The following is a 17017-nucleotide window of genomic DNA, read 5'->3' on the forward strand; positions in this document are numbered from 1 at the left end:
AAAAGCTGAAAAACAACAGGAATGAAATCAGTGGCAAGACCAGCCAGTGCACCGATGACCAGGCCTGAGGTTAAAAGATTAACCCCCAACTCTAACCACATGTGCTACCTATAGATCTCAATCTATCATGACCCTTTCACGTGGAACCCCTTAGAGTTGTAAGCCCTTAAAAGGGCCAGGAACCCTTTCTTCGGGGAGCTCCATTCTTGAAATGCAAGTCGGCCAATAGTCCAGTCCGAATAAGGCCTCTTCCTTCTTTAATCTGGTATCTGAGGGGTTTTGTCTGCAGTTCATCCTGCTACAGTCCCAGTGCTGGTGGCCACAGGAGTGCTTATGTCGCCCCTCCCCTAAATGCAGACAGCACAGCATGGAGAGAGAGAGAGACTCCATTTGTTTGGGGGAGAGTGAAGGAAAAGAACAAGAGCCTCTGCCTCATAATCCAGGGAATTCTGCCAGATCTTACTGCAGACCACCAAGGTGGTACATCTGTGAGTTTGCAAGAGTCATAGTGTTACTGGGCTTGAGATGCCTCTAAAGCAGATATGGCTGCAGTGACCAAATACTTAGATCACAACCCTCAATTCCCTTTGAATACTGGGAAAGCCTTCTCAAGGAGGATGGGAGGCTGGGCATGGTGGCTCATGCCTGCAATCCCAGCACTTTAGGAGGCCAAGGTGGGCAGATCACCTGAGGTGGGGAGTTCAAGACCAGCCTGACCAACATGGAGAAACCCCGTCTCTACTAAAAATACAAAATTGGCCAGGCGTGGTGGCACATGCCTGTAATCCCAGCTACTTAGGAGGCTGAGGCAGGAGAATCACCTGAACCTGGGAGGTGGAGGTTGCAGTGAGCCGAGATTGTGTCATTGCACTCCAACCTGGGCAACAAGAGTGAAATTCCATGAGGAAGAAGAAGGAGAAGGAGACCAGATGTGGTGGCTCATGGCTATAATTCCAACAATTTGGGAAGCTGAGGAGGGAGGATCACTTGAATCCATGAGATCAAAACCAGCCTGGGCAACATACTGAGATCCTGTGTCTACAAAAAATACAAAAATCAGCTGGGCATGGTGGCATGTGCCTGTAGTCCCAGCTACTTGGGAGGCTGAGGTGAGAGGATCGCTTGAGCCCAGGAGGCTGAGGCCTGCAGTGAGCCATGATCATGCCATTGCACTCCAGCCTGAGTGGCAGAGTGAGATTCTGTATTAGAAGAAAGAAACAAACAAAGAAAGATGGGTACACACAAGCACAGACTGTGGAGATTATAATAAATAACTAATTCTTTAATGGCCAGACATTGACCAATAGCCACAAGCATCAAGAGCATCCAGGAAAACATGACCTCACAAAATTAAATAAGGCATGAGTGTCCAATCTCAGAGTGACAGAAATATGTGATCTTTCAGAGAAAAAATTCAAAATAGCTGCTTTGAGGAAGCTCAATGAAACTCAAGACAACACAGAGAAGGAATTCAGAATCCTATCAAATATATTTAACAAAGAGATTGAAATAATTTTTTAAAATCAAGCAGAAATTCTCGACCTGAAAAATGTAATTGACATACTGAAGAATGCATCAGATCTCTTACCAGCAGAACTGATCAAGCAGAAGAAAGAATTAGTGAGGTTAAAGACAGGCTATTTGAAAATACACAGTCAGAAAAGACAAAATAAAAAAGAATTAAAAACTATAAATCAAGAAATAAAGTAAAATAAAAACAATGAAGCACACTTACTAGATCTAGAAAATAGCCTCAAAAGAACAAATCTAAGCATTACAGGAGGTAGAGAGAGAGATCAGCATAGAAAATCTATTCAAAGGGATAGTAAGAGAGAACTTTCCAAACCTAGAGAATGATATCAATGTTCAACTGCAAGAAGGTTATAGAACACCAAGTAGATTTAACCCAAAGGAGACTACCTCAAAGGCACTTAATAATCAAACTCCCAAGAGTCAAGGATGAAGAAAGAATTCTGAAGGAAGAAAGAGAAAAGAAACCAATAACATGTAAGGAGATCCAGTATATCTTGCAGCAGACTTTTCAGTGGAAACATTATAGGCCAAGAGAGAGTGGCATGACATATTTAAAGAATTGAAGGAAAAAAAACTTTCATTCTAGAACATTATATCCAGTGAAAATATTCTGAGATCAGGAGTTTGAGAACAGCCTGACCATCATGGTGAAATGCTGTGTCTAGTAAAAATACAAAAATTAACTAGTTATTGTGGTGTATGCTGTTAATCCCAGCTACTCGGGAGGCTGAGGCAAGAGAATCACTTGAACCCAGAAGGTGGAGGTTGCAGTGAGCTGAGATCACGCCACTGCACTCCAGCCTGGGTGACAGAGTGAGACTGCCACAAAAACATAATAATAGTAATAATAAAAGAAAAAGGCAAAAATTCAAACAACAGAAACTGGGCAAAGCCCTCCACAAAAGAGGAAATGTGAAGGAATAGCTAATAAAAACACGAAGAGGGTCTCAGCCTAACAGGGGGAGATGTCACGTGACACCCACCAGACTGGCAAAAATCCCACAACCCAATCCATGCAAGAGTTAGGGAGAATGGAGAGTAGCAGGAACACCAGGCACTGCTAAGAACGGTTGTGAAATATATTTTTGTTATGCTTCTATATGAAAGGGTGTGTGTTGTGGGTTATGAGAAAAATTACATTTCTTACCTGGGATGAAATTTTAAACATTGGAAGCTATTGACCAGAAGAAACTTGCACTTTTGTACAAAAGAAATACCCAAGAACATTCCTAACAAAACAGAGTCCTAAAGGCCCCAACCTGGCCAAACACTCATCAACAGGGAAATGAAGACATTTCCCATGCTCCTCTCATATGACCGGAGATCATGCAGCAATAAAAATGAATCATGTCAATGTGGGTGGGTCTCAGGAAGAGAATGGAGGACAAAAATAGACATCGAGCAGATGCTCAGAGCCATGCAGTGTAGGAGCAGCCACACAGGAGAATTTCTCACATCAAAGTTCAAAACTACAGCCAAGGCAACAGAGCAAGACCCTGTCTCAAAAAGACAATGGAAAGTTCCAAAACTAAATGGCATATTTTTTAGGGATGTACACATAAGTGGTGGAAGAAATGTACTATGAAGAAAAATATGGGAATAATAAAGACTAAAAGAGGAATTGATTCCCTCTGTAGGAGAAGGGAAGGGGCTAGGGCTCAGGCAGGGCCTCCGGGGAGCATCCAAAGTTATGTCTCTTCAGATTCTATTCCCTAAACTTGGTGGAGGTCCTCTGTGTCCAATGTGTCTGTATTCTTTATACCTTACCCATATTGTACAAATGCTTTATTTCTATTCAACATTTAGAAGACAATCATAAACAAAATGCATTAAATAGCAAGATGGCAAATGAACCTCAGGAAGGAACATCAGGAACATCCATGAGGTTCCATCCACGGAACCTCACCATGGATACGCTTGTGATCAAGGGCCTTGTCTCCCCTCAAGACAGTCAGAGATCAGAGGCTGCCCTCATCATAGCAGTGGAACAGGACCAGCTGGGACAGGGTCCTTCTGTGACACCTGCTGTGTCACCAGGCTGTGCGAATGGACTCAGCTGCCCGAACTCACAGAATATCAGTAACAGCACCGAAACTTCACAGGAAAAATGGTAAGTTGTAAGTTTCTCCATTAATAGTAACTCTCAGATTAGTCTATGTCATCCATCGCTTCTCCATTAAATAACTTTTTATAGCTTTACATGGGTCGATTTTTCAATTTATATTTTATTTTACTAACTGAATGAAAAGATATATATTGTGTGTGGTGTGTGATTTTGTCTCAGTCAGGATAATCATAGTTTAATTTCTATTATTATTATACCAATATCATTTAGTTTTTTTAAGCTGTTCAATTCCTGAGGGTATTAATCAGGGTCTTTCTGTCTCATGAGACAAAAAACAAATCCAAACTGTGTAAGAGAAAGAAGAATGCATTGATCACGAGGACTGAGAAGCTCCCAGGCTTAACTTGCTTGGGATTCAGCTACATGTACAGTTTCAAGTGGTGTCCTGTAAACTCTCTCTCTCTCTCTCTCTCTCTCTCTCTCTCTCTACTTCCCCAACATCTGCTCCATGTTTAGCTCCACGAACTTCAGACTTAAAAAGCATCACTGGCTCCTGACCAGGATTCCAGCTCCATGAACCTCAAACTAGAACACCAGCCCGGCTTCTCTGCAGGTCTCCAGCTCCAAAACCTAAGACATCAGTGGCAGTACAAACTCATCCCAGGGGCTCCAGCTCCAGGACCCTCAGACTTGAACCGCAGCACCAACTCTTCCCTGGATCTCCATCTCCATGACCCTCAGACTTAAACAGCAGCAGCACCAGTTCATCTGTGAATCTCCAGCTCCACAACCCTCCAACTAGAAACACACCAGCTCCTCCCTGGGTCTCCAGCTGCACGACCCTCAAACTACAACATCAGCTCCTCCCCGGGTCTCTAACTCCATGACCCTCAAACTAAAACAACACTGCTCACCCCTGGGACTCCAGATCCACAAACCTTACACTAGAACAGAAACACCAGCTCCTCCACAGATCTCCAGCTTTACAATCTAAGACATTAGTGGCAGCACCATCTCCTCCTGGGGTCTCAAGCTCCAGGACCCTCAGACTTGAATCGCAGCACCAGCTCTTCCCCGGATCTCCAGCTTGACGACCTTCAGACTTAAACAACAAAAGAATCAGCTCCTCCCTGGGTCTCCAGCACCACAACCCACAAACTAGAAGAACACCACTCCCCCATGGATCTCCAGATCCATGACCCTCACACTAGAACACCAACACCTGCTCCTCCGTGGGTCTCCAGATCCACGAACCTCACACTGGAACACCAACACTGGCTCCTCTGCGGGTCTTCAGCTCCACAACCTAAGACATCAGTGGCAGCATTGGCTCCTCCCATGGATTCCAGCTCCAAGACCCTCACATTTAAACTGCAAGACCACCTTCTCCCTGTATCTCCAGCTGCACAACCCTCAAACTAGAACATCAGCTCCTCCAATGGTCTTCAGCTGCACGAAACTCAAACTAGAAAAACAACAGCTCCTCCCTGGGTCTCCAGCTCTGCAACCATCAAACTAGAACACCATCAGCTCCTCTCCAGGTCTCCAGCTCCACAGCTCTCAAATAAGAGCAACATCAGCTTCTCCCTGGGTCTCCAGCTGCACAACCCTCAAACTAGAAAAACACCAGCTCCTGCCTGGGTCTCCAAGCTCCATGACCCTCAAACTCGAACAACATCAGCTCCTCCCCACGTCTCCAGCTGCATGACCCTCAATCTAGAAAAACAGCAGCAAACTAATAAAACCTCCCCGGGTGTTTCTAGTTTGAGGGTCATGCAGCTGGACACCTGGGAAGGAGCTGATTTTAATCTAGTTTGAGCATCGTGGAGCTGGACACTCAGGGAGGAGCAGATGTTTTTCTATTGTGAGGATTTTGGAGCTGGAGATCCAGGGTGGAGCAGTGTTGTTATAGTTTGAGGTCATCTGAGGGTCAGCTGCATGACCCTTAAGCCAGAAAAACACCATTTTCCCCCTGGGACTCCAGCTCCACAAACCTCACACTAAAACAGCAACACCGGCTCCTTCGCAGGTCTCCAGCTTTACAACCTAAGACATTCGTGGCAGCACCATCTCCTCCTGGGGTCTCAAGCTCCAGGACCCTCAGACTTGAACCGCAGCACCAGCTCTTCCCCGGATCTCCAGCTCGATGACCTTCAGACTTAAACAACAGAAGGATCGACTCCTCCCTGGGTCTCCAGCACCACGACCCTCAACTAGAACACCATGAGCTCCTCCCTGGGTCTCCAGCACCACAACCCAAAAACTAGAAGAACGTCACTCCCCCATGGATCTCCAGATCCACACCCTCACACTAGAACACCAACACCGGCTCCTCTGTGGGTCTTCTGCTGCACAATCTAAGACATCAGTGGCAGCATTGACTCCTCCCATAGATTCCAGCTCCAGGACCCTCAGATTTGAACCACAAGACCACCTCCTTCTTGGATCTCCAGCTGCACAACACTCAAACTAGAACAACATCAGCTCCACCCCGGGTCTCCAGCTCCATTACACTCAAATTAGAACAACATCAGCTCCTCTTTGAGTCTCCAGCTGAAAGATCGTAAAACAAGGACAACATCAGCTCCTTCCCGAGTCTTCAGCTGCAGGGCACTCAAACTAGAACCCTCCCCCGTCTTCAGCTGCACGACCTTCAGACTAGAACATCAGCAACTCTCCTGGTCTCCAGCTGCAGGATACTCATATTAGAAAAACGCCAGCTCCTCCCGGGTTCTACAGCTGCATGACCCTCAAACTAAAAAACACCCGCTGCTCCCCAGGTCTCCAGCTGCATGAACCTCAAACTAGAACAACATCAGCTCCTCCCCGGGTCTTCAGTTGCCTGACCCTCAAACTAGAACAACATCAGCTCCTCTCCAAGTCCCCAGATCACGGCCCTCAAACTAGAACATTAGCTCCTTCCCGAGTCTTCAGCTGCACCACCCTCAACCTAGAACATCGGCTCCTCTCTGGGTCTCTAGCTGCTGGACACTCATACTAGAAAAACACAAGCTCCTCCCAGGTTCTACTGTTGCACGACCCTCAAACTAAAAAACAACCGCTCCTCCTCAGGTCTCCAGGTGCATGAACCTCAAACCAGAACAACATCAGCTCATCCCCGGGTCTTAAGCTCATGGCCCTCAAACTAGAACATCAGCTCCTCCCTGAGTCTTAAGCTGCACAACCCTCAATTGAAAGCATCAGCTCTTCTCCAGGTCTTCAGCTGCAGGACACTCACACTAGAAAAATGCAAGCTCCTCATGGGTTCTACAGCTGTATGACCCTCAAACTAAAGAAACACCAGCTCCTCTCTGGGTCTCCAGCTCCATGACCCTCAAACTAGAACCAAATCAGCTCCTCTTTGCATCTCCAGTCGCATGGCTCTCAAACTAGAACATCAGCTCCTCTCCTGGTCTCCAGCTGTAGGACACTCATACTAGAAAAACGCCAGCTCTTCCCCGGTTCTACAGCTGCATGAATCTCAAACTAAAGAAACACCCGCTCCTCTCCATGTCTCCAGCTGCATGAACCTCAAATCAGAACAACACCAGCTCCTCTCTGGGTCTCCAGCTCCATGACCCTTAAACTAGAACCACATCAGCTCCTCTCTGGGTCTCCAGCTGAAAGACCCTCAACAAGAACAACATCAGCTCCCCTCCAAGTCTTCAGCTGCACAACCCTCAAACTAGAACAACATCAGCTCCTCTCCAGGTCTCCAGCTGCAGGACACTCATACTAGAAAAACACCAGCTCCTCCCGGGTTCTACAGCTGCATGACCCTCAAACTAAAAAACACCCGCTGCTCCCCAGGTCTTCAGCTACATGAACCTCAATCTAGAACAATACCTGCTCCTCTGTGGATCTCAAGCTCCATGATCCTCAAACTAGAATAACATCAGCTCCTCTCCAGGTCTCCAGCTGCAGTATCCTCAAACGAGAACATCAGCTTCTCCCTGAGTCTTCAGCGGCACGACCCTCAAACTAGAACATCAGCTCTTCTCCAGGTCTCCAGCTGCAGGACACTCATACTAGAAAAATACCAGCTCCCCCTGGGTTCTACAGCTGCACGGCCATCAAACTAAAGAAACACCAGCTGCTCTCTGGGTCTCCAGCTGCAGGACCCTCAAACCAGAACATCAGATTCTCCCGGGTTCTGCAGCTGCCCAACCCTCAAACTAAAGAAACTCCTGCTCCTCCCAGGGTCTATAGCTGCATGACCCTCAAACTAAAAAACACCAGCTCCTCCCCAGATCTCCAGCTGCAACCCTCCTATTGCTCCTTTGTTTGTTACCCATATTTCTCCAACTTCTAAGAAGTTTTGTTACTACCTTGGTTCATCAGAAAACTTCAGCACAAATGTATTACATGAATGTCTTGTAATACACAAGTGTATTACATGAATCACTGTCGATCTGTCTTGCAGAAAGACCTGGGTAGTGAAGATGAGAGTGAGACCTCCCACTAGTGAGTAAGGTTCTCAAATGGGGGAATGAAGAGAGAGGTTAAAGATTAGCCCCCCTCTAATCACATATGCTATCTCTGAATGTCAATCTATCACAACCCTTTCACGTGAACCCCTTAGAGTTGTAAGTTCTTAAAAGGGCCAGGAACTCTTTCTTCAGAGAGCTCAGTTCTTGACATGCAAGTCTGCTGATGCTCCTGGCCAAATAAAGCCACTTCCTTCTTAACCCGGTGTCTGAGTGGTTTTGTCTGTGGCTAGTCCTCCTACACCACCATGATTCTAACTTTCCTGAGGTTTTCTCAGAAGCCACTATGCTTCTCATACAGTCTGCAGAACCTTCAGCCAATTAATCTTCTTTTCCCTATAAACTACCCAGTCTCAGGTATTTAATAGCAGTGAAAGAATGGACTAATACTTGATTATTCCAGCTAAACAAAATCAAAGTAGACACCATGCCATTGTTAGCAAATTCAGGCTAAATCACCAACCAAAAATATGTGTGAATGTCTCTTGCAATATGTGTAATGCATCTTTGTGTAATATGCATATTTGAATACAATTTATATTTATGTTTTCTGAAGAGATAAAATCATTGGGATTCTTTTACATTCAGAATCCATGAAGGTCCTTGAACTAGAAGGTATGATTAATTTCAAAATAAATTTGAAAATTAGTTCATAAGTCAATGGCAAAATTAACATAGGTGGGAATTAATGTTATAATTTCATATACTGCTTTCATAATTTAGCAGTTTTTCATACTGGGAAAATTATAAATAATAATAGGAAATATATTAATATAACAAATTGTATACTTCTGGCCCAATTTCTTCTTCTTTTCTGAGAATATATAATTACTATTTGATATAGATTTTTTATGTTAGCCATAGACAATCCTTAATTGAAAAATCATTTAGACAATCTCTCAAACTTTAAGTTAATTTTCTATGCCACATTTTCTTAACTCATCAAAATATGCATTATATTGATTTTCAATTAATTTATTTTGAAATGAATGAAATAAAAATGTGAAAAAAGTTATCCAAAATGAAACAACAGTATAGGATGATTAACAAGATTAACATATTAGTCAATATAAAATTCCACTGCTATATTGCCATAGCTATGGAACTGTTGTGATATGTTCATTCTACTAAATCCTAATATTTAAAAAAAAAAAAAAGAAAAATGACCTCCAGTACATATAGAAAATTGGTTGCTTTAGTATGCATTAACTAATTTTGAAGAAATAGCAAAGAAATGTTCAAACTTTCTTTGTTTTATTAAAACAATGCTGTATTGTGTTAGACTATTGAAAAACAAAACGAATAGGGACCTGTATTCTTTGAACTGATGAGCTTCTTGAAAATAGAATAAATAACCCTGGCATTGGACTTTTAATATGGTATTGTTTAAAGGAGCACTTTTGGCTAGCAAAATTAGAAAGGATTTTTTATTTTTTCATCCTCTATATATGCTGTTCCTTTCTCCAGAAGACAAGCCAATGGTATGTGAAAGAGCTTTAAATTTTTCACTCAAAATAATCACGTAGAGATAAAAAAGAACCGACCTTCTATTATATCACCGGTCTAAGAGAAACGTGCGTTTTAACTTCACCCTCAACAGAGTAAGCTCTTGTGGCCTTAGTGCTTATCATGCATTTTCAGTAGGGAAAGAAAATCACAATGAAGAACAAAACATTTTCAACTTTTAAAAACTAAAAGAGGGAAAATTTAAGGCAGAACTAAATTAAGTAGCAATAAATTAGGGCTGGTTTAGTTGGTGGTTTCCAATAAGCTCTACAGCCACTTCCTTCACCAAGTACATGAGTGTTGCTTCAGCAATCATTCCTTTAATTCATGTCCTTTCTCTCTCTAGAAAAACTCATATATTCATTATCCTAGGAGTATCAGGTTTGCAAAGCTGGACCAAACTAAAGACTCTTCGAGGTGCACTTTGGCTTCTTAAAAGAGCTACCAAGATTTTGGCTGAGGCATGTGACTTAAAACTCAGCAGGTATGATTGGCAAGCTATCCTGTGAAACTTGTAATCAATCACCATCGGTTTTAGTGAATTGTATTATCTTTGTTCTTGTAAACACTTTCTTTCAAGTTATCATTGCTTGTGATTGAATCATGAGCTCTTAGATTTCTAAGGGAACAGAAAACCTATGAAACATTTGAAGCACTTTTGAAAAGAAACTTCGTGGCCAGAAACTCACCAAAACCTGAGGAAATCTTTTTTATTTTGAAATAAAAGAATGCTTCCTTTGTGTTTCTGTCCTTGAATCCAGTTGTTTTACTTGAGATTATAGCAAAGTCTTCTCTGTCTTTTATATAATGATTCTTTAATATTTGACCTATTCCTCTTCCCCCACCTCATTTATGAGTTATGTCTATTCCATCTTAAACATTCTCAGGTTCTTAACTGTATCTGCTACTGTAAATGGTAGTTTAGTTTTTGTTATTTTGATTTTTTTTGTTTATTTTGGTTTTTTTCTAGCTTTATTGCTGTATAATTGACAAATAGAAATTGTGTGCTACGAGTTGATGTGTAGCTATTCATATATGTTCTGAAATGGTTATCACAATCAAGTTAATTAACATATCTATTACTTTATGTAGTTAACTCTGTGTGTGTGTGAGTGTGTGTGTGTGTAATGAGAATATTTAACACCTACCCTATTGGCAATTATCTCCCTATTTTCCTTTCCCCCAACCCCACCCTTCTACTCTGTGCTGCTATAAATTTGACTATTTTAGATTTCACATGTAAGTGAGATTATGCAGTGTTTTTTTCCTCTGTTGGATTATTTAGCTTAGTATCATTTCCTTCTGGTTCATACTTGTTATTACAAATGGCAGGATTTCCTTCTTTTTCAAGGCTGAAAAATACTCCAATATATTTGTGTGTGTGTGTGCATGCACGTAGAATCCTTCATGGAGTCATTTATCCATTCCTCCATTAACATTTAGGTTTCCCTGAATTGGCTATTGTGACTAATGCTGCAATACACATCGGGGTGGAGGTATCTCTTTGAGGTAGTGATTTTATTTCATTTGGATATACATCCAGAAATGAAACTGCTACATTTTATGAGTTCTAATTTTATTTTTTGAGGAATTTCCATACTGCTTTCCACGTTGACTGTATTAACTTACATTCCCACCAATAGTTTACTTGGGTTTTCTTTTCTCCACATCTTTGCTAACACTTGTTATCTTTTATCTTTTTGTTAATAGCCATTCTAAGAAATGTGAGGTGATAACTCCTTGTGGATTTGATTTACATTTCCCTAATGCTTAGTGATATGAAACATTTGTTTCCTATACCTGTTGGCCATTTGTATGTCTTCTTTGGAGATATGTTTAGTCAGGTCCTTTGCCCATATTTTAATAGGGTTTTTCATTTTTTTCACTATGGAGTTGTATGTGTTCCTTATATATTTTAGATATGAACCCCTTATTTGATGTTTTGAAAATATTTTCTCCCATTTTTCAGGTGTGTTTTTATCCTATTCATTGTTTTGTTTGATGTTCAGAAGCTTCTTAGTTTGATGTAGCCCCACTAGTCTATTTTTGCTTTTGTAGCCTGTGTATTTGGTGTCATATAAAAAAAATTGCCAAGACCAATGTCAAGGACATTTTTTTCTATGATTTATTTTACTAGTTTTACAGTTTCATGTTTTATATTTGCATATTTAATCTGTTTTGAGGTAGTTTTTGTTCAGTATATGGTATAAAATAAGGTTTCAGTTTCACTCTTTTGCATGCGGATATTCAGATTTCCCAACATATTTTATTGAAAACAATATTCCTTCCCCACTGTGTATTCTTGGCACCCATGTCAAAGATTAGTTGAGCATATAGGTGTGAATTTATTTATGGGTTCTCTATTCTGTTCCATTGGTCTGTGTGTCTGCTTTTATGCCAGTACAATACTGTTTTGATTACTATAGTTATGTAATACAGTTTGAAACCATGAAGTAGGATGCCTCCAGCATTTTTTTCCTTGCTCAAGATTGGTTTGACTATTCAGGATTTCTTATGTTTCAGTATAAATTTTGGTTTCCAAATCCAAATACTGTTTAATATAGTGAACAAATCTTTGTTTTCTTTCTGAAACCATCTTTCCAATATATCTCAGAAGTCAGTGGTCTTAATGAATTGGTGCCACCATCTTTCCTTGCTACTCAAATATGTGTTACATAAATTTGAAAATTATTTGAAAGAAAATGGCCAAATATATCTCCTTCATATTTCTCCTTCATGTGTTTTTTTATCCTGAAAATAAAACTGCAAGAGGGAAAAAACAAGGAACAAGCAACAATAAAGAAAAAAAAAGAAGTAGAGACTAGGTAACTAAGAGCAAGATAAAAAGGTGAGTTTTTTCACTGGAGGATTGGATGAAAGAACTAATTAATTTGTCTCTCAGTTTGAGCTTTTCAAGAGTTCTTTATAAGTCCTTCATACTGTGACATGATCTGTTAGCCATTTTCACTGTGGTCCCCATTCTAGAAGCATTTTACTCTCTCTCTCTCTCTCTCTTTTTTTTCTTTTTTGGCGGGAATGGGGGATGGGAGTAGGGGAATGGAGCCTCACTCTGTAGCCAGGCTGGAGTGCAGTTGCTGATCTCAGCTTACTGCAAGCTCCACCTCCTGGGTTCAAGCGATTCTCCTGCCTCAGCCTACCGAGTAGCTGGGACTACAGGCACGTGCCACCACTCCCAGCTAGTTTTTGTATTTTTAGTAGAGATGGGGTTTTACCATGTTGGCAGGATGGTCTCCATCTCTTGACCTCATGATCCGCCCTCATTGGCCTCCCAAAGTGCTGGGATTACAGGCGTGAGCCACCGCGCCTGGCAGCATTTTACTCTCTTTCACATACTTTCTTATATTTATCCTTAGTTTTTTGAAAATATAAGAGTGACATTATAAGGAAAACTTAAATTGTGAGTAGCTCCTAGTAGAAATGGCCTCCTACTTGACTTTTCTCTCCTGTTTTGCCTCAAATCATTCTTCCTGGTTAATTGAGTATGATTTCTAACATGAAGAAACTTGACTTCTGGCTATTAGCAAAAAACGGAAATTTTTTCTCTATTGTTATATTATCATATGGCTTCAGCTCATGGCAACACATTTTCACTTTAGTCAATTCTAACAGCATTTGGATTTAGCAGTGAAATTGTTTGCATCTTTCATTGATAATTTTTTCCAAAGCAGTGTAAAATAAAATGTGGTTTTGATCTGGAATCACTTTTTCCTACATGCACATGCACACCCACCCACACACACATTATTAGGTGCTCACATCCTTACAATGGCACAAACAACTTTGCACTGAACCCTTTACTAGTCACTTACACTTCTCTTGACTTGAATATTCTGCTTATTTATCAGTGTAATGGTTTTTATCCAAATAAAGTAAAACAATAGAATTCAGGCCAATTAGCCTTTATATCCTTGTTGAAAATATTTAATATTACAAATAATTTTGTTTTTATTTAGTCCTCTTTAAATTTGTCTTTCACTGTATAAGACAGGCAATATATTCATGTTTATCATGTCAAAAAACTGAATCAAATGTTAAAGTGCTTTAAGAAAGCAACAGTATGAAAGCTGATCAAGCCCACTGTGGTCTGCATCTTCTTTATATGATATACTGCCTTTCAGAATTTTGGAGATGTTATTAAAAAATCAAATTTTTGAGGTCATTGATGGCATAGCATGTATTACATTCTTTATCTCTTCAGTTACTAGAACTAAAACACTAGATCGATTTTATATGTATGTATGAATTGATAATCTCAAATTTTTACATTTTTAATTTAAATATTTACATGTTTAAATTTTCATCTCTTTTCTGCTTTTTTTCCCAAAATATATTGTGTTCCTTAGTTCTATGTTTATATTTAGGAATGAATAATTGAACAAACTAATTTAGGCAGCTTGAGTGGATGTCCTCTTCACATACTTGCCTCTACCCCAGAACATGAGAAGTAACTGTCAGTAATTATTGGCAAGTATTAGTTTTCAGAGATGTGAGCAAGGAATGGACATGCCCTATCTCCAGCCTACGTGTATCCTCAATTAAAAATGATTTGGATTCTGTTCCATGTCTCCATGCCCACTCTTGGATCCCCAATTTTGGGCAGACAGATCGATCAATTTCTTTAGAATATATTAATCTGGACTCAGCATGAAAGAAAATACCCCATTGCAAATATGGCTTGGAAGGCAGAATAGTTTATCTAATTTATATACCCATCTTCTCAAATCTGAGATCTCTGTAAATACCAACTTCCAAGGACTCTTTTGTGAAGAGCAGCTTTCTCCTTCACTGACTCCTTTTTCTGCTAAGTCTATGAGCATTTCAGTTCATTCCTAAATGTGATATCATTTGCCTTCCTACTGCAAGGAATGTCTTTGTCTCCTGGTATCTTCCTTTTCTCCTATTCTTAATAGATTTATGAATTATTCTCTATTTTAATGTCTTGTGGTTACGGGAATCTCATGGAAGTTGACACATTTCTCAATATGTGTTATATGTTGGATCCCATCACATTGCTCAATTTGCATTTCATAATTGTGTCTTTGGTACTTGTTCATCTTCATTGTGTTCCTAGCAAGCAAAACCATCCCCTTAGCCTAACATCACTGTAACATAAATAAGCACTCCCCTAGTTTCTATGCATCCCCAAAATAAATTCAGCTTCATGTAAATATGACTATTGATAAAGATGTCCACTTATTGAATACACTTATCAAAAGATTTTTCTGGTGTAACATGGATATAATTTCTGTCTTAAGAACTCTAATTCTAAAGAAACCTGTGTATGGATTTCACCTTTAGGCCTTAGTTTAAACTTATTTAAATTTGTCTTCATAGATCTTACCCTCTCAAGCTATTCTGTTTTATGACAAAGACCAACACTAAGGTTTTTTATATTTATATATGTGAACTGAAATAACGTTCTAAAATATTTTAAATCCTACAAATTAGTTTCTTTCATTAAACAGAATCCTTTCTTTGTGTTGGACATTAATTCAGTGTTAATGTGAATATAATTGTCATGGATTAATATTAAATATTTGCCAATATCTCCCTTTACAACAGGATTTTTTATTAAAGTGTGTGGATGTCTTTTTTTCTTTATAATGTCTTAAAAAGAAGAAAACTTTGGTCATACTATAAAAGTTGAGTCTGATAATGTTTTATTATCTGGGAAACCATTTAAAAATAGTTTCATTGTTATTAAAATGACATCTGGGTTACATGTGAATAATTATTAAAATAATTATAGAACAACATGCATTTGTGAGGAATAATACAAAGAGATTCTGTATACACTTTGCCCAGCTTCCCCCAATGACAATATTTTGTTAAACTATAGTGTAATATCATGACAATAATATTGACATTTTACAGTCCGTCCAACTTACTCAGGTTACCCCAGTTTGGCTTGGACTCATTTGTGTGTGTATGTGCACATGTACATGTATAAATTCTATAGATTTTTATTAATGTGTAGGTTTATGTATCTACCATCACAGTCAAGACACTGAGAAGTTCCATCACCACAGGAATTCCCTATGCTACCGTTTGACAACCATGAGAAAGCATTTTTAATATATCTATTTTTACATTTGGGAAGGGTCAAAAGTCCTTTCATTAGCCCAGCTCCTGTCCAGATAATTTAAATTAATGATGTCTGTGTTCTTGTATGGATGGCATCACTGCTTGAAATATAGATCTCCAGGGTGCTCCTGCTCTCACTCTTTCTGAGCCATGATCTATTGCATGTCTGTACATCATCAAAGCAAATTGCTTCTTCAATGATGTGTAAGTATAATACATCATCACAATGGGACATGGTGATAATGCATTACCCAGAAAAAGATGACTGTCATATTTGACAGACAAGGTCAAGGAGCAAATTCAGGCAGCCCCAGCACATTTCATCAGCAGCATTCTTGGTATAGAAGAAAGTTTGTTTGCTTAGAATGATCCACTTGAAATGTGGACAAGGCTAAATACATACGTATGCCCTGGGTTGATTCCTTTGGTAAATTAAAAACGAGGTGGTTGAGCTTCCATTAAAATGACATCTGGATGACATGTGAATAGTTTTTCTGTCCACAGGGTGTTTTGAATCATGTGTGTTTCTTACTCATTCAGCATCAAATTGTTTTCCAGAGAAAGCTCTTCAACAAGATTGCAAAGTCCTTCAGGGTAGTAACTGTCTTATACATCCTTTGTTTCTTTCACAGTGTCTAAAGCATTGCTGAGCACATGGAAGACACTCAATAAATACTCGTTTAATGGAATTGAATTTGTAAGCACCAGAGACTCATGCTTCCTTTTCACATAGCTTGACACTTGGCTGCCCAGGATCCTTGCATGCAAGGTGGTAAGGTTACTGTGGGAAAATTCTGTTGGCTTACTATCCCATTTGCTGTCTGCTCTTTCTTTGTTTCTTCCTCCTTTTTTTTTTTTTTTTTTTTTTTTTTTGTAGAGTCTTTCAGCCAGGAGCTATTTTTATAAAGAATTTCATTTTTTGCTCATGAGGATTAAACTTTTAAGTTTGGCTTCAGGGTGTGAGAGAAGTACAACTTATGAAGGTTGCTCTGCACTGCAAAAAGGATAGGATTTGAGGAAGGGATGTTTCTGACATTGGCACAGCAGTATTCCGTTCTCCCCCATCCCCCAGTTGCTGCCAAATTGGCCTTTCTTTAAAGCATACAGTATTTATTTCTCTAGTCCTTGGATCATAGCAATTTTATTTCAATGTCACCAGTGAAGGAGAGAAAGGCAATATTTTGTCCAAGAGTGGGATTTGAAAATGAGTCCTCTGAGGATATGTTAGAGCAACCTAAGTATTAGATGCTGGAAAAATGGATCATTTCTTGATATTTCGGTAGGACACATCTCCATTTCAAATATATGCATGCTACAATGC

General features: G+C 39.9%; 1 long non-coding RNA gene across 1 annotated transcript; it reads left to right on the plus strand.

Annotated features, from left to right (window-relative positions):
- The first annotated feature begins 1511 nt into the window (after nucleotides 1-1511).
- On the plus strand, nucleotides 1512-16531 carry LOC107986058 (uncharacterized). Its single transcript, XR_001740584.1, has 3 exons — nucleotides 1512-3643; nucleotides 4115-10075; nucleotides 16329-16531. It is a non-coding gene; the product is annotated as an uncharacterized LOC107986058 (long non-coding RNA).
- The last annotated feature ends 486 nt before the right edge of the window (nucleotides 16532-17017 follow it).

The sequence above is a fragment of the Homo sapiens genome, chromosome 3 (genome assembly GCF_000001405.40).
Source record: "Homo sapiens chromosome 3, GRCh38.p14 Primary Assembly".
In the NCBI taxonomy this organism is placed as follows: domain Eukaryota; kingdom Metazoa; phylum Chordata; class Mammalia; order Primates; family Hominidae; genus Homo; species Homo sapiens.